This window comes from Homo sapiens, chromosome 13 (genome assembly GCF_000001405.40).
Source record: "Homo sapiens chromosome 13, GRCh38.p14 Primary Assembly".
Lineage (NCBI taxonomy): Eukaryota > Metazoa > Chordata > Mammalia > Primates > Hominidae > Homo > Homo sapiens.
In genome coordinates, this window is record NC_000013.11 from 32613817 (window position 1) to 32641175 (window position 27359).

The window sequence follows — 27359 nt, forward strand, 5'->3', positions numbered from 1 at the left end:
GGTTGTAAGGATTTAAATCTCTGTTTTTGCCTCTAAGAATTTTATAGTTTTAGCTCTTATATTTAGGTCTTTGGTCTGTTTTGAGTTAATTTTTGTATATGGTATGAAGTAGGCATGCACATTCATTCTTTTGCGTGTTGATAACCTGTTCTGTCACCGTTTGTTGAAAAGACTGTTCTTTTCCCATTAAATTGGCTTGGCATCCTTGGAAAATCAATTGATTGTAAATATGAGAGTTTATTTCTAGGCTGTCTGTTCTGTTCCATTGGTGTATATCTCATTGTGCCAGTGCTGTACTGTCTTAGTTAATGTAGCTTTGGGGTAAGTTATGAAATTGGGAATTGTGAGCCCTCCAACTTTCAATTTTTTCTCAAGTTTCATTTGCCTATTTTGGGTTCCTTGAATTTCCATGTGAATTTTAGGATGAGCTTATCCGTTTCAGCAAGAAAATCAGCGGGGATTCACATTATTCACATTGGAATTTTTTTTTTTTTTTTTTGAGACGGAGTCTCACTCTGTCACCCAGGCTGGAGTGCAGTGGTGTGATCTCAGCTCACTGCAACCTCCGCCTCCCGGGTTCAGGCGATTCTCATGCCTTGGCCTCTAGAGTAGCTGGGATTATAGGCACCTGCAACCATGCCTGGCTAATTTTTGTATTTTTAGTAGAGAAGGGGTTTCACCATGTTGACCAGGCTGGCCTTGAACTCCTGACCTCAAGTGAGCTGCCCGCCTTGGCCTCCCAAAGTGCTGGGATTACAGGCATGAGCCACTGGGCCTGGTCCACATTGGATTTTCAATAGTTTACTCATCTGTCTCAAATATTTATCTAATAATTAATTTCTTATGATGTATGAACCAGGCAAAGTAGATATTACTTATTGCCAGGTTTATTTTACAAACGTAAAAACGTTCAAAATGGTTGAGTGAGCTGTCTAAGGTGACAGTGGCTCAAGTCAAAACATTTTGGCTGTTGACTCCAAATGTCAGGTTCTTTCCACTGTACCTACTCATGTGACTGATTTTCTTGTATCTTCCTCTTAATCCTGTTGGAAGTCTTGTGAATATTTCTCTGAGACTATTATTATTTAAAGTTCTCCAGTAGAGATTGATTGAGCTTAGTTGAGTTTGTCCCTTTTGTAACTTTTTCTTGATGTGTGTACAAAGTAAACACAAGTTTATAAGTGGACAGGTTTGTGAATTTTTACATGCTTATGTAACCAGCATTCAGATCAAGAGACAACATCACCGACACCACAGAACCACCTCCGTTGTGCCCCCTATCAATTATTATTACCCCAAGGGTAGCCACTATCCTGATTTTGTGATAGCATGTTTTGTCTATTTTATAACTTGATATAAATTGACTCATATCTATATATAGTTTGTTGTATCTGACTTATTTTGTTCAACATCATGTTTATGAGGTTTGTCTATCTTGTTGCATGTAGTAGAGTAAGCAGGGATACTCCTGGTACTTTTGTTATGAAATTCTTATACATTATTTTCAGTTACTCATCAGATAGTTTTTCATCAATTGCAAAATTATATTATCCAAAGCTGAATTGAGATTTGTGGGAATCAGAATTTTGATAGAGTGATTAGGAAGATCCCTGGTATACAAAAGTGAAATGTATACCTATCATAATTTATTATATAAAGCATGTGTATTGAATCATCAAGAATAGATGGCTCCTACTGGGATCGATTGTACTTTATTATATTTTGCCTTTTCTATAATTTTTAGTTGTGTCGTTTTTATAATGAGTGAAGAGAAAGTCTGTACCCTTTAGAGACACTTATTGAACTTCTAGTCATCATGGTGTAATGAAGAGTGTGTGAATTTTGGAATTACATCTGGAATTAAATTCCAGCTGTATCAAATACAAGTATTTTCACCATGTGAGCTCTGGACATGTTGCTTCTCTTAATAAGCATGGATATAAAATATCTCATGGTTGCTGGAAATATAAATCATAGAAAGTACATATAAGTAACTTATATAGTCCCTGGCAATAGGTGCTCTGTGAATTTTAGTTTTAATCTTTATTATGTGATTAGTGCAATAATTCATCAATCCAGAGTAGACTTTTGTTTTCAGAATATTGAAATTTTTTTATAGTGTCTAAATTCTTGCCTAAAGTCAAAGACTTCCTTGATACTATGAAACATAGCTATATGTTGGGTTTTGGAAATACATCAAGATGCTAAGCTAGAAGTGATATTTTTCCTCCTCTCTCTCTCTCTTTTTTTTTTTGAGATGGAATTTTGCTCTTGGTGCCCAGGCTGGAGTGCAATGGCGCGATCTTGGCTCACTGCAAACTCTGCCTCCTGGGTTCAAGCGATTCTCCTGCCCCAGCCTCCCTAGTAGCTGGGATTACAGGCACCCGCCACCACACCCAGCTAATTTTTTGTATTTTTAGTAGAGACAGGGTTTCACTATGTTGGCCAGGCTGGTCTCGAACTCCTGACCTCAGGTGATCCACCCGCCTTGGCCTCCCAAAATGCTGGGATTACAGGAGTGAGCCACTGCGCCTGGCCCCTCCCGTCTCTTTAAAATTTTTTTATACTTTAAAAACACGAATGGGATCATACTATGGATACTATTTTGCCTTTTCAATTTAGTGATGCATTTTGGATTTTGAGCCAGCACATAAAATGCTTCACCATTTTATGATGTTACCAAGAAATATATAACTTTTCTATTGAAGGACATGTAGGTATTTTCAGTATTTTGCTATTATGCCTATGTCTGCATATAAATACAAGAAAATGTAGCCCGAGTTGCCATTGTCTGATTTCTAATCCAAGGGAATTGGACAGAAATTGGGCCAAGAACATTGTTGGAACCATGCTGAAGCCTTCTCTACCTTGGGATTATTTATTTACCTGAGACAATATAGCCTTTTAAAAAAAAATTTGTTTAAGGTAGTTGAACTGCAAAATTTTGTTCCTTAACAATTCAAGAATCCTAACATATTGCGAACACTCTCATTTTTCAGTTGTCCTAGTGGAAATGCCCTAGTGTTTGTAAGTTTACTGTTTATTTCTGAAAAGTAGTATTTATCATAGTAAAGAATTTTCCTTCTTTTCCTGATTTTCTCTAAGGGATTAAAGTCAGGAATAATGAACAGTTTAATTTAGATGATCCTGTGCATTTTCTTCTTTTACCTATTAATGTAATTCATCTATTAATAGTTTCTCTGACGTTGACAGTCTTTGCGTAGAGAACTCATATGCAAAAGAGAGCTCTCCCAGTAGTGAGACAGTGAAATCATGTCCATATTATGTGTCTCATCCAAAATTCTGAGCTACGGTCAGACCACCTCTGAATAAATAACCTCTGGCTAGAAGAATTGCCGTATCCCAATCAGCTTAAATCTGTTTTATCCTAAGCCATTTATTTAATATAATCTAGGGTGATGAAATTATCCTGTCTTGGCCACCAGTTAGCACCTACTTACAGAGTTGCTTGTTAGTACTTCCCTAAATTTTATTGTAGTTACATTATCAGAGAGAGAGGTGTAATGATTGTGGGAGAGGCAGCCACATACATATCTACAACACAGACATACTGTTTTGGATATCTTGGGAACAGAACAATACGACATAAATAAGATATGTAAATATTGGAAAGGAAGAGACCACTGTGGCAAATGCTGTTTTTATTCAGTAGCTATTCTCCCACTTGTTTCTTGCACATATAACTCAAGATTTTTTACAGGTATTCAGGGCCCGTTTGATTCAGAGGAGGCTGGTCCCTGTGAACCCTAAGGGTTAAAGAAGAGTAGTTTAAACCAGCTGTGCCATTTCTGTTTCCCTTGCTGTTATCTGGCTTAATAATGGCATTACCTGTTTCAGTTTTTGCTAATTCAGTGGGTGTAAAATCCTCAATGTGGTCCTAATTTGTATTCCTCTTATTACAAATGAGAGGGGTACAACATGTCAAGTGTTTATTGGATATTTCTTCTTTTGCAGTGTGCTGCTAATCTTACTGTTGGGTTGTGTTTTTCATCATTATGTATGTTCTTTATATATTCTGATTACTAACTTAGTCCCATGGTGCTGCTATAACAAAATACCTAAGGCCAGGTAATTTTTTATAAAGAGCAGAAATTTATTTCTCACAGTTCTGGAGGCTGGGAAGTCCAAGATGAAGGCACTAGCAGGTTGTGTAGTCTGGTAAGGGCTGCATCCTCCAGAGGTGAATGATGCTGTGTTCTCATATGGTGGAAGGAAGGCGGAAGGGCCAGATAGCCAAACGCTGGCTGCCAGGAGCTGCTTTTTTAAGGGCCTAATCCTGTTCATAAGGGAGGAGCCCTCGTGGCCTAAGCACTCAGGCCCCAGCCTCTCAATACTACTATAACATTGGTTGTTAAGTTTCAACACAAGAATTTTGGAGGGGACACATTCTACTAACTTGAATTCACTAACTTTAAAAAAAAATCAGTTTTGTGAGTTACAGATACAATGGTCCTACCCGAGGTTTTGCTTTCAGTGATTTCAGTTACCAGTGGTCAACCATGGTCTGAAAATACTAAATGGAAAATTGTTATAATTAAACAATTGCTGTTTTAAGGTGCCCACTGTTCTGAGTGGTATGATGAAATCACTTGCTATTCTGCTCCATCCTGTCCAGGATGTGAATTATTCCTTTGTCCAGTTACCCGTCCAGTGTAATACTACTGGCCCATTACTGTGTAGAAAAAAAAAATGTGTATATAGGGTTCAGTAGTATATGTTTTGGGCATCCACTGGTGGTCCTGGAGAAGGTCACATACCTTCTCCCTAGTTTCTCCTTTGTTGAAGTTAATAATTTTACTTTTTTTGGTGTCTTGTGAAAAACAGATAGTCTTAATGTAGTAAGATCTTTTATGGTTTATATGGGCATTCATGTATTTATTTATATTTACTTTTGTTTAAGAAGTCATCTCTTCAAACTTGGGTAATTAAAATAGTTTCCTGCTTTAAAGCTTTGTCTTTCATCTCAGTCCACTGGGGTTGCTTTTTTTCTTTTTTCCCCACCAGTAGTGGAACAGGGATTGATACTTACTTTTTGCCATATGGATAGTTGTCACAACCTCATTTTTTAGAGTCCATCTTTTCTGCAGTGATGTGCAGAACGAACTCTCATAGTCAAGTTTCCATATACATGTGAGTCTGTTTCTGGACTCAATTCTGTTTTGCAGCCTAATTGTCTATCTTCACCGTCATACCACACTTCCTTAATTATTACAGCTTTATACAAGTCTCACTGTCTGGCAGGGCAAATACCCCTACCCTGTATTTCAGAAGTTGTTTGGCTGTTTGCATGTCTAAATGATTTAAAAATTTGGTGGTAAGGTCTTTGAGGTACCCTGTTGGGGGGAGAGTTGACATCTTTATGATATTGAGCATCTTTATGATATAGACATAGTAGAGTTACATGTCACTTAACAACAGGGGTACATTCTGAGAGATGCTTTGTTAGGCAATTTCTTCACTATGTGAACATGGCAGGGTGTACATAGGCTATACGGTGTAGCCTGTTGCTCCTAGGCCACAAATCTGTACAGCATGTTACTGTTCTGAATATCATAGGCAATTGTAACACAATGGTATTTGCATATCTAAACATACAAAAGGTACAGTAAAAATATGATGGATAAAAAATGTAGAGCACTTACCATGAATAGAACTTGCAGGACTAGAAATTTCTCTGGGTGATGCAGTGAGTGAGTGGTGAGCGAATGTGAAGGCCTAGAACATTACTGTACACTACCATAGATTTTATAAACACTGTACAATTAGGCTATGTTAAATTTATTTCAAAAAATAAAGTATGATATCATGATGGTTTATGATGTCACAAGATGATAGGAATTTTCCAGCTCTATTATAATCTTATGAGACCACCGTTATATATGGTTTGTTGTTGACTGAAACATTACGTGGCCCCCAAAATGTAATAATTTTCTCCACATAGGTCTGAGACATCTTTGGTTAAACATTTTATTTTATTTGAGATGAAGTTTTGCTCTTGTCCTCTAGGCTGGAGTGCAGTGGTGTGGTCTTGGCTCACTATAACCTTTGCCTCCTGGGTTCAAGTGATTCTCCTGCTTCAGCCTCCCTCGTAGCTGGGATTACAGGGGCCCGCAACCACGCCCAGCTAATTTTTATATTTTTAGTAGAGACAGGGTTTCACTATGTTGGCCAGGCTGGTTTCTAACTTCTGACCTCAGGTGATCCACCCGCCTCGGCCTCCCAAAGTGCTAGGATTACAGTCATGAGCCAATGCACCCGGCCCTGGTTAGATTTTTAAAATGTATCTTATAATAAACTTTTTTGTTTAAAATTACATTTTCAGCTGCTTTGGCTGGTATGTGGAAATGAAACAGATTTTTTTGGTCCACCTTGCTAAGTTTTAATGTTCACAATACTAATGTTTTGAGTTTCTGTATAGACAGTACTATCACCTGCAAATAATGAGACTGTGGTTTCTTTCCAATCCTTATGTTGTTGATTTCTTTTTCTTTTCTTAGTATGCTGGCCAGGGTCCTTTGGTAACTGTTAAAAAGTGGTAGTGATAGCACGGTGGCTCACGCCTGTAATCCCAGCACTTTGGGAGGCCGAGGCGGGCGGATCACGAGGTCAGGAGATCGAGACCATCCTGTAAATGGTGAAACCCCATCTCTACTAAAAATACAAAAGATTAGCTGGGTGTGGTGGCAGGTGCCTGTAGTCCCAGCAGCTACTTGGCAGGCTGAGGCGGGAGAATGGCGTGAACCCAGGAGGCAGAGCTTACAGTGAGCCGAGATTGTGCCACTGCACTCCAGCCTGGGCGACAGAGCGAGACTCCGTCTCAAAAAAAAAAAAAAAAAAAGTGGTAGTGATAACGGGATTCTGATTGTTTCTAGCTTTAGAGGAAATGCTTGATGTGTTTCAACATGAAGAATGGTGGTGTTAGTTTTGGGTAGATAACCTTTGTCAGGTAAAGCTTTTCTTTTTATTGTTATTTTTAACAAATGGGTACTGATTTCTACATTTGTTGACATAGTTTTCTTCTTTCTATCTGGTGATGTGGTGAATAATAAATTTTTCTGATAATAAACCAACCTTGCATTATTAGAGTAAACCAAGCTTGGTTGGGATATAGCTACACTGGCCAACATAGTAACCACTAGCCACATTTCAAGTGCTAATTGTGGTTATGGCTATAATGGAAAAACAGAAATTACAGAACATTTCCATTATTGTGGAAAATTCTGTTAGTGCTGTGGTAGAGTTGTCTTTTTAAATACATTGCTGAAGTTATCTGGCTAATCTGTGTATGTATGTTTATGAGTTTTCATGTCAAACTTATACTTGTTTCATTGAAAGAGATGGAATGGCTGGGTGCGGTGGCTCACGCCTGTAATCCCAGCACTCTGGGAGGCCAAGGCAGACAGATCACTTGAGCTCAGGAGTTTGAGAGCAGCCTGGGCAATATGGCAAAATTTTGTCCCTACAAAAAATAAAAAAATTGGCTGGGCGTGGTGGTGTGTTCCTGTAGCAATCTCAGCTACTCTGGAGGCTGAGGTGGGATGATTGCTTGAGCCTGGGAGGCAGAGGTTGCAGTGAGCCAGTATTTTGCCACTGCGCTCCAGCCTGGGTGACAGAGCAAGACCCTGTCTCAAAAAAAAGAGGAGAAGGTGGAAAGTATTCTCTTTGTTTCTGTGTTCTGGAATCGTTTGTGTAAGATGGAGACAGTTCTTCCAAAATTTGGAACAGCTCATCAAGCCTGATGTTTCTTTTTGGGAAGATTTTAACTTAGTTTCTTTAATGATTACTGCTCTATTCAGGTTTTACATTTCTTCTTGAATAATTTTTTGTTAATTACATTTTTTTTTCTAGGAAATAACATCTAAAATAGCACATTTATTGGCATAAAGCAGGACTCAGCAAACTATGGCCTGTCACAGGCTGCCTGCCTCTTTTTCTAAATAAAATCTTGCTGGAATATAGCCACACCTAATCATATTGTCTGGTTGCTTTAGTGCTATAAATGCAGAGATGAGTAGTTATGACAGAAGGTATGAGCCCCAAGCCAAAAACATTTACTGTCTGGTCTTTTAAGAAAAAGTTTGCCAGTCTCTGGTTTGAACTATTCTTTATCTATCATTCTTTCAATATTTCTTTTAATCTCTGTATTTAACATCTCATTTTTTTTCCCTAATGTTAATCTCTTTTTTTCTATTCTTGATCAGCGTCACCAGAGACCTGCTAATTTTGGGCTATTTAGATGCATTCTCTTATTTAATTAACTAATTTCCACTCTTTTTTATCTTCTTTCTCTGTTCTTTGATTTCATTCTCATTTTATTCTTCATTTCTTTTCCTGGCTTAAGTTTGATGCTTAGCTTATTTGTATTAAACTTTCTTCTTTTCAGTATAAACATTTAAGGCTATAAATTTCCCTTTCTATACCACTTTTCCTAATTCCTACAAGTTTTATATGTATTATTTTCTTTACTATTCAATTATAATTATTTGAGTGTTTTTACATTTCCTAACATATGGAAATGACTTTCTTTTTTTTTACTGACTTGATTACATTTTAGTCAGGAATATGTGGTGGGTGAGATTTGGATTATTTTTAATTTGTTGAGACATGGGTTAAGTACCAGATTGTCATTAGTTTTTGTAAATGTTATATGTGTGCTTGAAAAGACTGTGTAAGGGTACAAAGCTCTATAAATGACCAACAAAACGTACTTGTTAATTACCTTGTTTAAGTCTTCTTATGTCTTTACTAGTTTTTCTAGTATATAATCTATCAGTAGTGGAAAAGATGTGTTAAAACTTGTACTGTGCCGGTGGACATGTTGGTTTGTCCCTCCGGGTCTATCAGTTTTTATTATTTTCATATTGTTTAATAGCTGATATAAATTAATTTTTTTCTGATAATTTGAATCTTTTAATCATTTTGTGATGGCTTCTGTATGTGTTAAAATTCTTTGTTTTTAAAAATTTGTTTGGTCTGATGAGAATGTAGGTGCCTGTTACAACCCATTGAGGTTCTTGCCTGCTGCACAGAAAAAACCAATATGCTGAGGCAACAGGTATTGCAGCAGAGAAAGAGTTTAGTCGCAGGGCAGCTGAGTCAGGGGAATGGGAGATAGTTCTTAAATCTGCCTTGCCAAGAATTTGGAGACTAGGGTTTTTAAGGGTGGTTTGGCAGGCAGGCAGGGGTCTAGGGAACGAGTTCTGCTGATTGGTTTGGTTGGAAATGAAATCACAGGGATGTCAACTGTTTTCGTGTGCTGAATCAGTTCCTGGGTGAGGGTTACAGGACCAGTTTAGTCATTTTCTTGGTATGGGTCACCAGCCCTGTGTGGCATCAGTTGGTAGAACAGAATTCAAAGTCTGAAAAATATCTCAAACACTAGTTTTAGGTTTCATAGTAGTGATGTTATCTATAAGAGCAATTGGAGAAGTTACACATCTTGTGACCACTGGCTACATGATTCCTGATCAGCAAGTAATTATAAAAAAGGGGGCTAGGGGACAATGACTGGTTACTGTTTATCCTTATATCTTAGTAGAATTGAGGCCCCTACCATAATTCTAAGCTTGTGGCCTTGTGTTCGTTATACAAAGTCGGTTTTAGTCCCTCAACAAGGAGGGGTGGATTAGTCTTGGGAAGGGACTATTATCCTCCTTGCTTTAAACTATAAACATAGTAACATCGTTAGTCTGACCTATGTATAGGAATAAGCAAAGGCAATTAGCTTGTGAGGTTAGAAGCAAGATGGAGTCAGTTATGTTAGATTTCTCTCACTGTTATAATTTCGCAAGGCAGGTTTCATACCCACCTTTCTGATTGTTATAAATTTCATTTTCTTTTTGCCCTATTTTTCCCTTTTCTTTGCTTGCATTTTTTTTTTTAGTTTTAAAAAAAGTTTAGTTACTTTCATTTTTCCACAATCCATTTCTTTTTTCTTTCTGTTAGGGAAATTACAGTTTATAATCTATTCCTTTTTTTTGCTTTGTTGTTGTTGAGACAGAGTCTGGCTCTCTCGCCAGGCTGGAGTGCAGTGGCGTGATCTTGGCTCACTGCAACCTCCACCTCCTGGGTTCAAGTGATTTTCCTGCCTTAGCCTCCTGAGTAGCTGGGAAGACAGGCGTGTGCCACCACGCCCAGCTAATTTTTGTATTTTTAGTAGAGATGGGGTTTCACCATGTTGGCCAAGCTATTCCTTTTTTTTAAAAAAAAAAATTGTTACACTTGAAATTTTGCCTTGTATACTTAATTCCTTAGCTCTTTGCAAAATTGACACAAAGGCCCTTTTACCAATCTGGTCAACACTCCCCTTCCAACTTCCATGTTGATGTTGCCTAGCATTTTATTCTCCCTTTTATCCCCCAAATTATACATGCTATTATGTATTTATATTTTGCTTTCATGTTTAGAGTTTCTTTTTCTTTATTTTCTTTTACTAAGATATCAGAGTTGTCTTTTTGTCCTCTAGCATCTCCTAATTTCATTTAAAATTTTTCATCTGTTTGTCTCTTGGCCCTGCATTTTGGGTAGTTTCTTCAGTTACTGGTTTTTGTAAAACTAGTCGTGTTTAATCTGCTTGACCTGTCCATTGAGGTTTTGAAATCAACAGTTACTTTTCATTAAAGTATTTATTACTGTTCAGTCTCTTGTTATTTTCAGCAGCCTCTTGTTGCTTGCTGATTTTGTGATTTCATTTTTAAAAGTTTAAACATTCATATTTTGTATTTTGGCAATGAGGTTATAATATCTGAATTCATTGGGGCGTGAATCACTCTTGGTGTTTGGTTTTCTTATGTGTTTGTTGGTCCTTGGGAAGGACTCATGTTTTGTTGAGCTTGGTATGTGGAAAATTTGGGTGCCTAAACTGAGGAATTTTTTAACTCCACAGAAGATTTCAGTTTGCTTCTACTGAGAAATTGCTTCTACTGAGAAATAGGATTTGTCATCTACCTGGGAACTTTCTAGAGTCCAAGCTCAATTGGCAAAAGGGCAAATGCTAATATGCACATTTGCCCTTTTGCATCTCCAAGTGCATACTACTTACTGTTCAGGTTTCAATTTACCCTTTTTTTGTGCAGATAAGAGACAGATGGTGAGTGTGGAAATGAAGGTTGGGTGTCGGTAGGTTCTGGTAGATTTTCCTTACTTTTTTGAGCTCAGCAATGTGATAACAGTTTTCTGCTGGATTTATTGGGCCTTTCAGGATATACAGTATTAATATATATATTACTGGAAAAAGATGTTCAGTTTTTAAGCTTTTCCTTTTCATTCATTCGCTCATTCATTTATTCATTCATTTTGAGACAAGATCTCACTCTGTAGCCCAGGCTGGAGTACAGTGACGTGATCACAGCTCACTGCAGCCTTGACCATCTGGGCTCAAGCGATCCTCCCACCTGAGCCTTCTGAGTAGCTGGGACTAAAGGGTGTGAGGTGGCAAGATCATAACTCTCTGCAGCCTTGAACTCCTGGGCTCAAATGATCCTCCTGTCTCAGCGTCCTGAGTAGTTGGGACTACAGGTATGCTCCACCATGCCTGGCTAACCTATTTTAGTTTTACATATACAAATCTCTGCACATTTCATTGTGACAGCACTAAAAATTAAAAAAAAAATTCTTTTGTGTTTTTCTGTATTAATGTTTAATTTTACATAACCTGTTGTGATTCTCAGTTTGTGCACCTCTTTTGGACTATTTGAGTCTCCTGATGTACTTGATTTATCCTGATGGGGTTTTGTGTATAAGTGGAATTTCATTTTATTTTAATTAATTTCAGGTATTTTGAGAAGTCATTGAAATAATTTCTTAGGCTAGAGTTTGTAAATCAGGTTTTAATTAAAGTAGAAAACCTCAGAATGAAGTACACACAAGAAGCATATTGTTTAATGAGACATTTTTTTTTCCTGAGCATATTTATATACTGGGTTGTGTTGCAATAAAAAAAAAAAAGTTTGAAATGCATTGTCCTAGGTTTTAGTCTGTGAAGCAGCTGAGACCAGTATTCTTTTTTTTTTTTTTTTTGAGACAGGGTCTCGCTTTGTTGCCCAGGCTGGATTGCAGTGGGGAAGATCTTGGCTCACTGTAGCCTTTGCCTCCTGGATTCAAGCGATTCTTGTGCCTCAGCCTCCAGAGTAGCTGGGATCACAGGCACGCACTACCAACGCCTGGCTAATTTTTGTGTTTTTAGTAGGTATGGGGTTTTGCCATGTTGGCCAGTCTGGTCTTGAACTCCTGACCCCGAGTGATCTATCTGCCTCGGCCTCCCAAAGTGCTGGGATTACAGGCGTGGTCCACTGCACCCAGCCCCAGACCAGTATTCAAGTGAGATGCTTTGTAAAGCTGAGCTGCTCTAATTGAAGGTCTGGGGCACCATAATCCCTTCCCTACTGAGTTGTTGAAGTGCTAGAGGCCCCTGTGAATGCAGTTACAGGTATGGAGGGAGATAAGCCAGACCGTGGTCCTATGTTCCTCCTCAACTACAAACAGAACTTTGCTTTTTCTGTATTTTGTAACTAGAATTTAGGGGAGATTTGGCTTGAAAAGAGGGCTCATCTGCTAAAGTGTATTGGAAAACCATTGTTAGATAATCAAGGTTTTAAGGCTGAATTCGACCTTGTCTTTAAATAAACCATTAAATAGGCAACATTTGGGAATTTTTTCTTCTTTAATTATTGTAGTCAGTCTTTAGTTTTGCCTCCTGCTTTTCTAGAACAAAATGTGATCATGAGCCTCCTGTCACCATCCTACTCATTTTTGACATGTTTTCAGTCTTGCTGTTTTTTTTTTATTTTCTTTGCCTTGTCTGCAGTGAAGAAAGAGTAAAGATGTTGTACAATTGTGCAACTTACATCTATTGGAATCTCTTATAAATGTACAGTGAGACATTCCCAAATGTTCTGTTCATGGTGTCCTTAGTGTCTCATCATTTTTTCATGGAGCCAAAATAGAATACATAACAGTTCTGTTTTAGTTAGATACAAGTAGCCTAATAAGTATTTATGGTTCAAGAATTATATGTTCAATCAAATAAAAACATTCCCTTTTTATGCTTAAATAGTGACATATGCTTACTGATCTGATGTGTGTGCCTGTTGGGCATATGCAAAGTTCTTAAGTCTTGGAATCAGATTGAACACTGCCACCTTTGTTTCCTGTTTTCCACTGATTTCTATCTAGCACTTTTTTTTATCACATCAGCTGTCCCAAAACCTAGCTTCTCAAAGATAATATTACCTTCAAAAAGAAGGTAGAACAATGATCTCATGTTCAAGTGGAACTACCTTGAGCTGATAAGCTTACCTGGTGTCTGACAGATCTTGAGAATAGCTGTATTTTCCTTGAGAACTTAAAATATCCCTCAGTGCCTGTGAATTTGCTGTGATATCTAGGGGACTCTGAGATGTCTTGTTTTACAGTTTGATAACTGCAGGTGCAGTGCTTTACAGTCTGTACAGTAATTAAGCAGATGGATGCTATCTACATTTTATGGAAGAGAAAATGGAGTCAACTTTGTAGAATTAGCTATAGATATTTGTACAAAGCTGCTCTGTTGAGTTATTTGCATCTCACAAGACAGTATATACTTTATAATTTATTTCTGAATGGTACTTTAAAAATATGTAGTTCATTTCCTGGGTTTTTTTTACTCTTTTTTAGGAAGAAAGTTTTTAAATTTTTTTATGTTTGCAAGGGGGTTGAAAAGAAATATCTTTTTTCTAGCAGAACCATTTTCTTTATTGCAGTTCTTTCCATTGTGATTTGTTTTCCTGGGAAAATGAAGGAAAAAAGAGAAAAATTAATTTGCAAATTAGTAATTGCATTAATGAATCTGTAAAGAACAGATTATATAATATTGTTGGAGTGATAAGTATTAAGGATTGCCAAAAACTGCAAGTACATGATATAGTAAGATAATAGAATTGAGAGTTTTAGATCTGGAAGGTGGGATGAGGATAGAGATGAGAGTTGGGTCATCTAATTGATTTCTTGCATACCGTTTGAGATCTTACACTGGGAGGTGGAGGAGAAAGTAAGAAGGGAGAGAAAGAGAAGTTAGTGGGGAGAAGGAGGAGGAAAGAGGGTGATACTGTATGATTGTATTCTTGTTAAAAGCAGAAGCACTTTTGACATTTCAGAATATTTACTCTCTTGGCTCCTGCCAGAGTATATAATCTAGAATAGATCTGTTGCCCAATCTTTATTTAAAGTTCAGTTTTAAGGGAAAAAAATGTTAATAGAGAACAGCCTTGAAGGATAGGCAATCCATAATACCTATAGATTATTAGTTTTCTTTCTTTAAGGATTGCTTTTAAAAAATACTTTATTACAAATACTTTGAAATAACATATCTACAAGAGATGTATCCTTTCTTCCATCCCAAGCTCAAATCATTTCTATATTCCATTTTTACGTATTTGCAATAATAATACAAATAATTTTGGGCTAGGTGTGGTGACTCACGCCTGTAATCTTAGCACTTTGGGAGGCTATGGTGGGTGGATCACTTGAGGTCAGGAGTTCGAGACCACCCTGGCCAAGGTGAAACCCCGTCTCTACAAAAAATACAAGCCGGATGTGGTGGCAGGTGCCTGTAATCCCAGCTACTTGGGAGACTGAGGAAGGAGAATTGCTTGAACCTGGGAGGTGGAGGTTGGAGTGAGCCGAGATCGTGCCACTGCACTCCAGTCTGGGCGACACAGAGAGACTCCCATCTCAGGGAAAAAAAAAAAAAAATTATGCTCTATACTTCCCATTAATTTAATTATGTAGATTTTTTTTTGGTGTTTTTTATTGCCCAATAGGTACTTTTTTGGTGTATGTTATATTTGGTGTTTATTTTACCAAATATACTATTAAACCCACACGTGTGCACACACATACACACTTGAGTATAATGCCTTTCCCACTCGTTAGTACATTAATATTATTGGCTAACACTGTTATATTTTTTTCTTTGTAATGACTGCATAATATTCCATGGTAAAGATTTACCACACTTCATGTAGCTGTTGTTCCCTTTTCGATGTCAGATTTTTTTTTCCACTTGTTTTAAACAGTGCTAAGATAAATATTCTAGTACATTTATATTGACATTTTTATTCCTGTGAGAATTGGAAGAGAAGTATTGCTGGGTTGAAGGGAATGTGTCATTAAAATTTAATAGGTATTAACACAAATCTTTTCAGAAAGGCTGTAATAATTCACATTTCCAGTAACATCTGACAGATCACCGGTTTTCAAATTTTTCTCTGTGAACTTTCTTGACAAGAGAAGTTGGGGGTATTGGAATACCCATCACTCAATTCAGCCAGAGCAGCTCTCTTTTAACCTATTTGATATATTGCACATTGTTATAATGTTTTGGTTAGAAGAGTTTGTTTCATGATTAAAATAAGTTTGAAGAATCATTGCTCCGAGTTGTTCGATTTTTTTTTTTTAACCTTTTCTTTTTTTTCTAGGTCAAACCAGACATTGAGATCACTGGCTTTTTGGATACCTTGTGTTGGCTGCATTTCTTGTATATTTGGATACCGAGTGTTGGCTACATTGGATACCTTGTGTTGGCTACAATTCTTGTAGAATGTTTTCTACTGAATCATACTTTAAGTACTTTGAATTGTACTTTGGCTTGCATTGAGGGATAAAAAGGGGTGGTTAAAACTCACTTCTGTGTTTATCCTTGTTGGAGTTATCCATTACATTACTCACTGACCCATTAGGTTTCAGCGAGGATGCAGATGTCACATAAAGCTTCACTTCTCCTCAATAGCTCTTAGACAATGTTTATCTTATGGTTGATATTTCTTATTCATCTTATGCCCTTTGATTTATTGGTTTTGTACCTTGCTTACAGGGCTTTTATAGTTTATTTTTGAAATAAACCAAGAAGTTGAGTGTGCCTCTGTGGCCATTTCCAGCCATATAACCATGTAAGCAGGTATGATGTAGTTCTAATTCTGCCATTTGGGAACTTTCTGATCTTGGGCAAAATCAGCGAATTTCTCTTGTCCCAGTTTTCTTCATTTGTTAAAAAATATGGATGATAATAAAATCAGAGTTGATGATTTTCCAAAAACATCTTTCAGCAAATTCAGTGACTAGTTTATAGGCTTTTAATGGGTTACTTAATGAAAGCCAAAAAGAAAAGAAAGAAGATACCCAATTGCATTCAACTAACTGAAAGTGAATGTAGGGGCCAAGACAAGTATAGCTCAAATTTGGAGTTTCCAGGTATTGTTCTTCACATCCTTGAGATATTAGAAGCAGTGTTCCTTAACTTTCTTTTTTGACGATAGATGTTAGAGAATACACCACAAGCTCTGCTCCATCTCCCCAGAAGAATGTACATTATCACATGCATGCAAACTCTGTATACTCTTTTAGATGACTATAGATGGTTCATAGACCTCCTGAAGACCATTTATGGGTTTCCTATGTGGAATCTGAGTGTAAGAACAGACCTAGAGCAGTAGTTCTCAGTGTGGGGTGATTTTGCCCTGCAGGGGACACTTGGCAATGTCTGGAGACATTTTTGGTTGTCACAACTGGGGATGGTGATGGTGTGCATGCCCTCCTCATATCTAGTGAGTAGAGCCCAGGGATGCTGCTGAACATTGTACAATGCACAGGTGCACCCTGACCTCCACTTGCAATAAAGAATTTTTGGCAAAAAACGTGAGAGTGCTGAGGTTGAGAAGCCCTGATGTAGAGGAAGTGATGAATGGGATTTCTTTAAAAAATCCTTCAGAAATATAATTGTTCTCTGGTCTTTTTTGATAGTAGTTGGGTAGTAGATAGTGCAAGGTTAAAATCTCTGAGCCTCACTCTGTCTTGAGTATTCTTCCCTCAGGTATTTGCATGGTTTATCATCATTCTTTTTCAGGTTTCCACTCAAATGTCACCTTGTCATAGAGTCCTTTCCAGTCTTTGCAAGCTAAAACAGTTCTCTTCCTTACTTTTTTTTTTTTTTTCAGACGGAGTCTCACTTCTGTCCAGGCTGGAGTGCAGTGGCGCCATCTCGGCTTACTGTAACCTCCGCCTCCTGGATTCAAGTCATTCTCCTGCCTCAGCCTCCCGAGTAGCTGAGATTACAGGCATGCACCACCATGGCCGGATAATTTTTGTATTTTTTCTTTTTTTGGTGGAGACAGGGTTTCACCATGTTGGCCAGGCTGGTCTCGAACTCCTGTCTCAAGTGATCCACCTGCCTTGGCCTTCCAAAGTGTTGGGATTACAGGCATGAGCCACCACACCTGGCCATCTCTATTGATTCTTTTTTTCTTTCTTTTTTTTTTTTTTTGAGATGGGGTCTCACTCTGTTGCTTGGGCTGGGGTGCAGTGGTGGGATCGTGGCTCACTGTAGCCTCGACATCCCTAGGCTTAGGTGATCCTCTCACCTCAGCCTCCCAGTTAGTTGGGACTAATTTTTTTGTATTTTTTGTAGTGGTGGCGTTTCACCATGTTGCCCAGGCTGGTCTCAAACTCCTGGGCTCAAGCAGTCCACCTGCCTTGACCTCCCAAAGTGTTAGGATTACAGGCGTGAGCCGTGGCGCTCGGCCCCTATTTTTCTTAACATTTCACATTATCTAACACATACATTGACATTTGTTGTCTGTTTTCCTTCAACTTTAATATAAGCTATGCCACGAGAACAATAATCTTTGGCTTTCTCCTACAGTTATATTCCCCAGTCAACAGTACCTGGGATATAATAGGTGCTCAATAAATATTTGTTGTTGAAAGAATGAATGATCTGAGTCTGTATTGTGGCAAGTTTGATTGTATTGTTTTGGCAGAGCCCAATGTTTTAGAGATCAAAGGTGCAGTAAAGTTGACAGTTTTTTGTGAAAATTAGGAGTTCTTACCTAAGTTGTCAGTTGGATATAGTATAGGCCAGGAATATGTATCTGAAGGCAAAGCCAGGATTTAAGGGAAAAAAAAGTTCTTTGGCTTCTTTACAACATGAATTGAGCACCTGAAGTTGTGTTCTAAACTGTTTTCTAAACTTGTCTGACCATAGGAATTGTCTGAGACATTCCTTAAAAACGGCAGAATCTGAAGCTTCTCCCCACACCTCCTGAATCAAAATTTCTAGAGGAGGAACCAGGATATTCTTATTAAAAACAAAGAGGGAAAGAATATCTTCAACAGATGACACTGGGACAACTGGATTTCCACATGCAAAAGAATTAAGTTGGACCTCTCCTTCACATAGTAGATAAAAATGAGCTCAAAATGATCAATGATGTAAATGTAAGATTTAAGCCTGTATACTTTTAGAAGAAAATATGGGAGTAGAATTTTATGAACCTGAATTTATTAGCACAAACAATAAAAAATATATATTGGACTTTATAAAAATTAAAAACTTTTCTGCATCAAAGGACATAAGAAAATGAAAACACAACCTACAGAAGAAAATATTTGCAAGTCATATCTTTAACAAGGATTTAATGTCCAGAATATATAAAGAACTACAGGTCAATGACAAAAAGACAACCTAATTTAAAAGTGAGCAATGATCTTGAATAGACATTTTTCCAAAGATACACAAATAGACCTGTAAGCACATAAGATACTCAACACCATTAATCATTAGGAAAATGAAAATCAAAAACATAATGAGGTTACACTGCATACCTACTAGGATGGCTATAAAAAAACAAAACCAGAAAATAACTGTTGAAGAGGATGTGGAAAAATTGGAGCCCTCATTTGCTGATGTAGCTAGCTGCTGCTGTGAGAAACAGTTTGGTGGTTCTTCAAAAAGCTAATCATAAAGTTACCATAAACTTAGCAATTCCACTGCTAGCTGTGTGCTGAAAAGATTTGTACAGGGACTGAAATGGGTATTTGTACAGCAGTGTTTATTGCAGCACTGTTCACAGTAGCCAAGAATGGAAACCAAGTGTCCACTAGCAGAAGAATGGATAAACAAAATGTGGTATATACATATAATATTCAGTCATACAAATAATTGAAGCTCTGGGCCAGGCGTGGTGGCTCACATCTGCAATCCCAGCACTTTGGGAGGCTGAGGCAGGCGGATCTTGAGGTCAGGAGATCGAGACCATCCTGCCCAACATGGTGAAACCCCGTCTCTACTAAAATACAAAAATTAGCCAGGCGTGGTGGCGCGCGCCTGTGGTCCCAGCTACTCAAAAGAATTTAAGCTCTGATAAGTGCTGTAACAGGATGAACCTGAAAATACACTCAGTGAAATTTGACAGAAAAGGACAAATACTGTGATTCTACTTACATGAGGCACTTAAGGATAGGCAAATTTATAGAGACAGACAGTAGAAGTTACCAGGGGCTGGGGAAAACAGGGCATGGGATGTTATTGCTTAATGGTTACAAGTTTCTTTCTGTTTTGGGTGATGAAAAAGTTTTGGAAATGGTAGTGGTTGCACAATATTGTAAATATAATTAATAATGTCACTTAATTGTACATTTATAAATGGTAGATTCTATGTTACATATATTTTACATAAAAAAAGTATTAGATCTAAAACTATTGAATTGTACACTCTAAAAGATGAATTATTTGATATGTGAATTCTGTCTTAATAAAACTATTTAAGAAAACAAAAACAAAACCAGCTATCCGTGTTTGGACAACACTGTCACAAAACAAAGTTGTTGATTTTAGCCAGGAAGCATATAAGGTAGATGTAATCAGTGAGACTAGATTCAGATTAGATTTAGTAATATTAATCCGTATGCAGTCCCTCAAAACTAATGTCTTTCAGGAATATATCAAGTGTTTATGTACTATAATGATTTTGTTAAGTTTTCCCCATTATAGGGAAATTTATTGAGAAACTTATCAAATTAAACTTTTTGGTGGACTTGACATCCTAATTTTTCTTATAACCCCTCCCCCAGTTTACTCATTATTAATATTTTATTTACAAGGTACATAACTTTGTAAGCAGATTTGTTGAATATTTGTTTATCTTTATGGATACTGTGTTACTTTTAATGAGGTAGAATTAATAGTTGTACTCTCATTTGTCCTGTATACAGTATGGTACATTGGGTCCTTACATATCAATATGGGTGGTACTTTTATGCCCATTTTATTGTCATCTTAAAGAGCTACATTGTAATGTTATGCAATGCCTCCTGGATTTTACTTCTGTCTCAATCTCTTTTCTCCTACTAAACTATACTTCTCTCCTGTTTTCTGTTATATCCTCTCTTCAAATACTCTTATGTTATCTTCCAGTTGTTCAGAGCTTCCTGTTACTGCTTCAGTGAGCCTCTTGCAGTCCCTCATAGATTCCTGCAGTCTTCCTGTGTTCTAGCTGGTATGTCTTTGTCTTTGGAAATTCTCTAAAATACAAATCTCATTTCTCTTTAAATTTCTTAGAAAAGAAAGAAAAAAAATGACAACTGCCTTATGTGATAATGACCAGACTCCTTATCAGAGACTTAAAGCCTTAGATTAACTGGTCCCAATTTCTTTTATAACACCTTCACCAATATGTGCACATGTATATGTACATGCACAGAATCTAGTTGATTCACTTTTGTTTCAGTACTTTTTTCCTTTTTATTCCAATTAGTATCATTTTGTTTATCCATTCACCAGTTAATAGACATTTGGATTGTTTGTTGTTTTTGGGCATTATGAATAATACTGCCATGAATATTCTGGTAAAAGTCTTTGTGTGGATATAGGTTTTCTCTTGGATGGACACCTAGAAGGGGAATTGCTAGGTCATATTGTAAGTTTACATTTAACTTTTTTTTTTTTTTTTTGAGAACAGTGTCTTACTCTGTCACCCAGGCTAGAGTGCAGTGGTGCGATCTCAGCTTACTGCAACCTCCACCTCCAGGGTTCAAGCGATTCTCCTGCCTCAGCCTCCCGAGTAGCGGGGATTACAGCGCCTGCCACTGCGCCTGGCTAGTTTTTGTATTTTTAGTAGAGATGGAGTTTCACTATCTTGGTCAGACTGGTCTCTAACTCCTGACCTTGTGATCCACCCGCCTCGGCCTCCCAGAGTGCTGGGATTACAGGCATGAGCCACCGTGCCCAGCCAACATTTAACCTTTTAAGATACTGTGAAACGTTTTTCAAAAATGGCTGCAGCATTTTACATTCCCATAAAATATGAGGGTTCCAGTTTCTTCACAACCTCAGCAATATTTCTTACTGCCTCTTTTTTTTTTTTTTTTTTTTTAAAGAGGCCGGGCCTTACTCTTGTCACCTAGGCTGGAGTGCAGTAACTTGATGATAGCCTTGAACTCCTGGGCTCAAGCCATCCTCCTGCCTCAGCCTCCTGAGAAGCTAGGACTACAGGCATGCACCACCATGTCCAGCCAATTACGTTTTTTTTTTTTTTTTTTTTTTTTTTTTTTTTTTTTTTTTTTTTTGTGGAGATGGGGGGGTCTCACTGTATTGCCCAGGCTGGTCTAGAATTCCTGCCCTCAAGTGACCCTCCTGCCTTGGCCTCCCAAAGTGCTGGGATTACAGGTGTGAGCCACTATGCCTGGCCTGTCTTTTTTTTTTTTTTTTTTTTAAAGACGGAGTCTTGCTCTGGTGCCAGGCTGGAGTGCAGTGGCATGATCTTGGCTCACTACAACCTCCGCCTCCCGGGTTCAAGTGATTCTCCTGCCTCAGCCTCCGAGGTAGCTGGGATTACAGGTGCGTACCACCACGCCCAGCTAATTTTTGTATTTTTAGTAGAGATGGGGTTTCACCATGTTGGCCAGGATGGTCTTGATCTCTTGACCTCATGATCTGGCCGCCTCAACCTCCCAAAGTGCTGGGATTACAGGCGTGAGCCACTGTGCCTGGCCTGGCCTTTTTGATTAGTGCCATTGTAGTCGCCTAATTAAGCTAAAATATCTTTGTGCCTTGAGTTTCTGGTTGGGCTAACGTTTTTGTTTCTGTTCAGTTTGCTCCGATTTTTTAGTATTCTGATTTTTTTTTTTTTTTTTTTTGAGGCAGAGTCTTGCTCTGTCGCCCAGGCTGGAAGTGCAGTGGTGCTATCTCGGCTCACTGCAAGCTCCACCTCCTCGGTTCACGCCATTCTCCTGCCTCAGCCTCCCGAGTAGCTGGGACTACAAGTGCCCGCCACCACGCCTGGCTAATTTTTTTGTATTTTTAGTAGAGACGGGGTTTCACCGTGTTAGCCATGATGGTCTCGATCTCCTGACCTTGTGATCTGCCTCCCTCGGCCTCCCAAAGTGCTGGGATTACAGGCGTGAGCCACCGCTCCCGGCCTAGTATTCTGATTCTTAATTTCCAATTCAGCATTCCCTAAAGAGCCTGAAGTAAAAACGAGAAAACTTGACCTCTTGTCATTGCTCTGCCACTTACTACAGGGTGACTGTATGCGAGTTCGTCAGCTTTCTGAACTTCATTTTCTTCATCTGTAACATAGGGATGATTCCTACTTTTATAGAATTTTGAAGGAAAATGTGTGCATGAAAGAGCTTTGAAAACCATGATCTGTTTTTAAAAAATTAAAGCTGTCATGCTTACGTATATGAAGTATCAGAAATGCTTACAGAGATAGTAGGCAGAATTAGCACTATATTGTAGTGTTAAGGCATTTGTTACTAAACTTGGCATGTAAATTTCCTCATGGAGCTTTTTTCATATGGAAGTGTTTGGGTCTGATTATTAGAGGATTCAGCAGTGCACCAGAGATGGAAAACCATTAGGTTAAGGGCATAGGCTTTGGAATCAGATATGGCTCAATTTAAGTTCAGTTGTTGATAACTTTAGCATAGTTATTTAACCTCTTTGAACCTCAGTTTCCTTGTTTATAAATGGGCATAATTATATAGTTCATCTTAGTAAGAACATTTATTCAGCTTTTGCTTTTTAACCTGCATTGTGTTATGCATTAGGTATGTAGCAGTGAACAAATTAGGATCCCTAAACTTTTCTCATATAGTTTACAGTTCAGAAGGGGAAACACATTAGAGAATTTGTATTTACATTTATGATAAATTCTTTGAAGCAAAAGTGCAGGGGTGGTGTGAGAGCATGCAGTCAAGATTTTATTTAGACTGAGTAGATTTGGGACAGCTTCCCTGATTGACAGGTGAGACTTGAAAGAGCAGTGTTAGCCAGGCATGAGGGCTAGAGAAGAGAAAAAGTTTATTGAAGCAGAAGGAATAGCACACCCTGAGACAGAAGGATCTTGGTTTAGTGTCTTCAAGGAATAGAGATGTGACTGGAGTGTAATGAGCAAATGGTCAGATTAGTATATTTGGAACTTATTCGAAGGGCAGTGAGAACCTATTTAAGAATTCTAAGTAAGGCAGTGATATGAAGAGATTAGCTTATTAAGATCATTCTGGTTGCTCTCTGAAGAATGAGTTGGATGTGGTGTAGATTTATGTTGTGGTGAAGTAATGGCTAATGATTTCATTTACATTTTGAAGTAATGTAAATGATTTCATTTACATTTTGCAAGGTAGCATTTATAGGATTTGATTGTTGATTGTAAATATTGAAAGGGAATTGCCAAGCTTCATTCCCAGAAAACTGTGAGGAAGAAATGGGTACATGAAGGCAACACACACTGAAGAGGGAGAGGAATGAAGAATGAGGATTTTTTTGGAGGGAGAAAAAAATTGGGAGACATTTTGTTTAGTTTTGAGTATCTTGAGTTCGCGGTATCTTTGAGAATACCCAAGTGGAAATGTTAAGTAGACAATTGTATGTGCGGACTGGAGTTGAAAAGAGAGATCTTTATGGAGTATGTATTAAAAGAAAGCTTAGGGCAAAAGCCTTGGGAGAAGAACATAAACAGTAAAAAGAGAATTGAACTCTGATGAGTTAACTGATATTTGGAGGTTGAGTAGAAGAGAAATCAAAGGAGACAGGAATGACCAGTAAGGTAGGAAAAAATCAGGAAAAGGCAATGTGTTACTAGAAGAAACAAAAGGAAAATAATGTTTCAAGGAGGAGGCTGCGGTCAACTGTGTATCATACTGCTGAGATGAATAAAATAAGGATTAGAAAAGTGTTCACTTGATTTGGCAACATAGAGGTCAACTGATGACTTTTAGTTAGCTTTTACTGCATAACAAATCACCCGAAGACTGACTTACTGAAAACAACTGTTCCCAATTGTGTATATTGGCAATTTGGGTTTGGCTTATCTGGGTGGTTCTACTGATCTGGACCAGGCTTAGCTGATTTTAGCTGGGGTTGCTTATGCATCTACAGATATGCCTCTGTGGTCACCTGGTGATTTGGTTAGGGCTGGCTTGTTCATGATGACCATGGCTGGGACAATGTGCCTCTGTGCATATACATTCTAATTTTCCACTGGGATAGCTTGGACTTGCCGACATCTCCATAGCAGAATTCCAAGAGCAGTAGGTAAGCTAACCCAGAGCACAAACACTTACTAAACTTCTCAATGTCCCATTGCCTAAAAGAGTCATAACGCCATCTCAGATTCTAGGTCTGAAAAAACACTTTTATTTCTTGATGGGAGGAGCAGCAAAGTCACATTGTAAGGGTGTAGATACAAGGAATGGAAAAATTTGTTGTCATTTTTTGCAATCTGCTAGTGACTGTGGCAAAAGCATTTTGCTGATGAGGTGGAGTGTGCGGGTGGGGAACTCTTTGGAAGCCAGGTTGGATTAATATGAATAGTGAATGGGAATTGAAAGTAGATAGTATAGATTACTCTTTGAGAAGCTTGTCTGTGAAGGTAATTTGGGAGAGAGGACAATACCTGAGGCAGGGGAGGTATTTGTAGTCTAAACAGGTATGTTGTATTTTCTTTCCCTTCCTGCCTGAATGCCTTCCATCCATCCAATAACAGAATATATTTGAATGCTGAGAGAGTATCTAGTAGACACAGAGGATGCTGATACGGGGGAAAGAGGAGATAACTAATCAAGTAAAAGTCTTTGAGTAGAGGATGGGATTTTGTGTGCTTATGAAGGGGTTAGTGTTTTGATGTGAGGAGGGCTATTTCCTTTCTGGTATTAGGGAAGAGGGAGGGAAGGAAGGAATGGGGAAGGAGGGAAGGGAGGGAATGGGTGCAAATGTACATAGGCATGTAAATTGGGTAATAAGAGGCTGAGGGTTTCCGTTTGATGGCGCTTCTGTTTTCTCAATGAAGCAACAGCAGTCTACATGGGGGCGTGGGGCGGGGGCGGCGTTGTACAAGAATGTGTGTTGGAGATTTGACGTGAATAGAAAAATTCGTAATTTTATCCACCCCCCCACCCCCCACAATGGGATATCGAGTTGACTACTGAGCAGAGAAATACTAATCACTCAATAAATGAGAGATATTATCACTATTAATATACAAGAATTACTTTAAAGAGATTTAACAGAACACTTTCTGTGCGGTTAGAAACTGATGCAGGTCGAGATATTCCAGGGCCTGGGGCTCCTTTTCTGTTTGAGCCAGTTAAACTTTAGTATCTTCCATAACATTGATGGTCCTTAAAAAATGATGTAGGCAAGTGACCATGTTTGCCCTTTTACAAATAAACATTAACAAAAATATGTATTCAAAGAAAGGGTCCAGTTTCTAAAAGAACTTCCTAAAGTATTCACCGTCACTGTTTTACCAGAACAAATAAGGAATAACATAAATACACTGATTTTGAATTAATAAAGATTAATTCAAACTGCATGGTAGATTAGTCAAAAAATTGTATGTTGAAAAAGGCAGATTTTTGTTTAAACAGTTGGAAAATATGTAAACAGGGCTTTCAAGTTGTATGCTTAGGGGAGAATAGCATAATTTACTTAGCGTTTTTTCTCGTAGGAAAAACTCCCATTAGATTTTTGGTTGTCCCTCAACAAGAATAAGCTAAACTTCTTACACTGTTTAATTATTGTGTACTGAAGAGTTGTCTTTATGGAGGGCACCATCTGCTGGTTGCAAGAGGTAGCAGTTGTGGCGAAGACTGCCTTCTGTAGTTATATCAGACTCTTTACAAAATCTTATGTTTTCCTTTGAATTCCACCTCAAACCTGGAGTGAAATCCCAGAAGGAAAAACAGCTTTAAATTAACATGGCCCAGTATGGATTCTAGTAGTGGTTTGATTTGATTTCTGTGACTGTGAATTTTTAAGAAAAATCAACATGAAACTGGCAGATGCCGGTCTTTATTTGTTGATTTGGATGCCTAAATCAACTAAAAAATAGGATTGCTTATTGTTATGATTGCTCTTGCTCTTTAGTCAGTACTTTGTTTTCCTTTTCTATTCAGTGAAAATATCTTACATATTTTTTACTACAGTCTCTTGTTTAGTTACATCTATGAACATTTATTTATGTCTGATAATATTAAAGAATGACCATTTCATTGATTTTTCTTGTACTCAGTGTGATTAAAAGATTCTCATATATTTAATTAATGATCATTTTATTTGAACTTTAAAAAAAAACTTTAGTATTAGAATATTTTCTTTTCTTTTTTCTTTTTGAGATGAAATCTCGCTGTCTCACCCATGCTGGAGTGCAACGGCACGATCTCAGCTCACTGCAACCTCCACCTCCCAGGTTCAAGTGATTCTCTGGCCTCAGCCTCCTGAGTAGTTGAGACTACAGGCATGCGCCACCATGCCCAGCTAATATTTGTATATTTAGTAGAGACGGGGTTTCGCCATGTTGTCCTGGCTGGTCTCAAACTCCTGACCTCAGGTGATCTGCCCACTTTGGGCTCCCAAAGTGCTGAGATTACAGGCGTGAGCCACTGTGCATGGCCTAGTATTAGAATATTTTCTTATGCTTACTGTTCATGCTGAACATAAAAATGTAAATATAATAATATGCATATGATAATTTTTGAACTGAATTGTTTTCTGAAAATGCTTGTTTCAAATAACCCTTTGAAAGAAGGGAAATTCTAGGTTATAGTTTTACTATTAATTGGTGGTAAATTTAAAGTTTATATTTTTTAAATGGAGAAACTCATAAATCAGCACATTGTTGGCCAGGTGTGGTGGCTCACGCCTGTAATCCCAGCACTTTGGGAGGCCGAGGCAGGCAGATCATGAGGTCAGGAGATCGAGACCATCCTGGGTAACACAGTGAAACCCCATCTCTACTAAAAAAAATACAAAAAATTAGCCAGGCGTGGTGGCGAGCTCCTGTAGTCCCAGCTACTCGGGAGGCTGAGGCAGGAGAATGGCGTGAACCCGGGAGGCGGAGCTTGCAGTGAGCCGAGATCACGCCACTGTACTCCAGCCTGGGTGACAGAGTGAGACTCCGTCTCAAAAAAAAAAAAAAAAAAATCACATTTTTCTGTAATATACTATAGTTTATAAAATAGAGTCTGATATAGGCCAGTTTTATATGACTATTTTCTAAGTGCAGTTATTTTTCATTTTTTGT

General features: G+C 38.1%; 1 protein-coding gene across 8 annotated transcripts in view, besides 1 other annotated feature; it reads left to right on the forward strand.

Annotated features, from left to right (window-relative positions):
- Positions 1-27359, forward strand: part of PDS5B (PDS5 cohesin associated factor B) — a 191568-nt gene that overhangs the window by 27365 nt on the left and 136844 nt on the right. The window contains exon 1 of one of the 8 annotated variants that reach the window (XM_017020448.2): positions 15644-15955. The exons of the other annotated variants lie outside the window; for them this stretch is intronic. The gene's annotated coding sequence lies outside the window, so the exon portion shown is untranslated. Of the gene's footprint in view, positions 1-15643; positions 15956-27359 lie in introns of those variants that run through there. 8 annotated transcript variants of the gene reach the window in all.
- Positions 12129-12644: an enhancer, noted in NCBI's record as "NANOG hESC enhancer chr13:33200082-33200597 (GRCh37/hg19 assembly coordinates)". NCBI's record gives its function as "activates a minimal SCP1, AML or CMV promoter by ChIP-STARR-seq in primed H9 embryonic stem cells {active_cell/tissue: H9 hESC(primed)}" and the evidence as "EXISTENCE:reporter gene assay evidence [ECO:0000049][PMID:30033119]".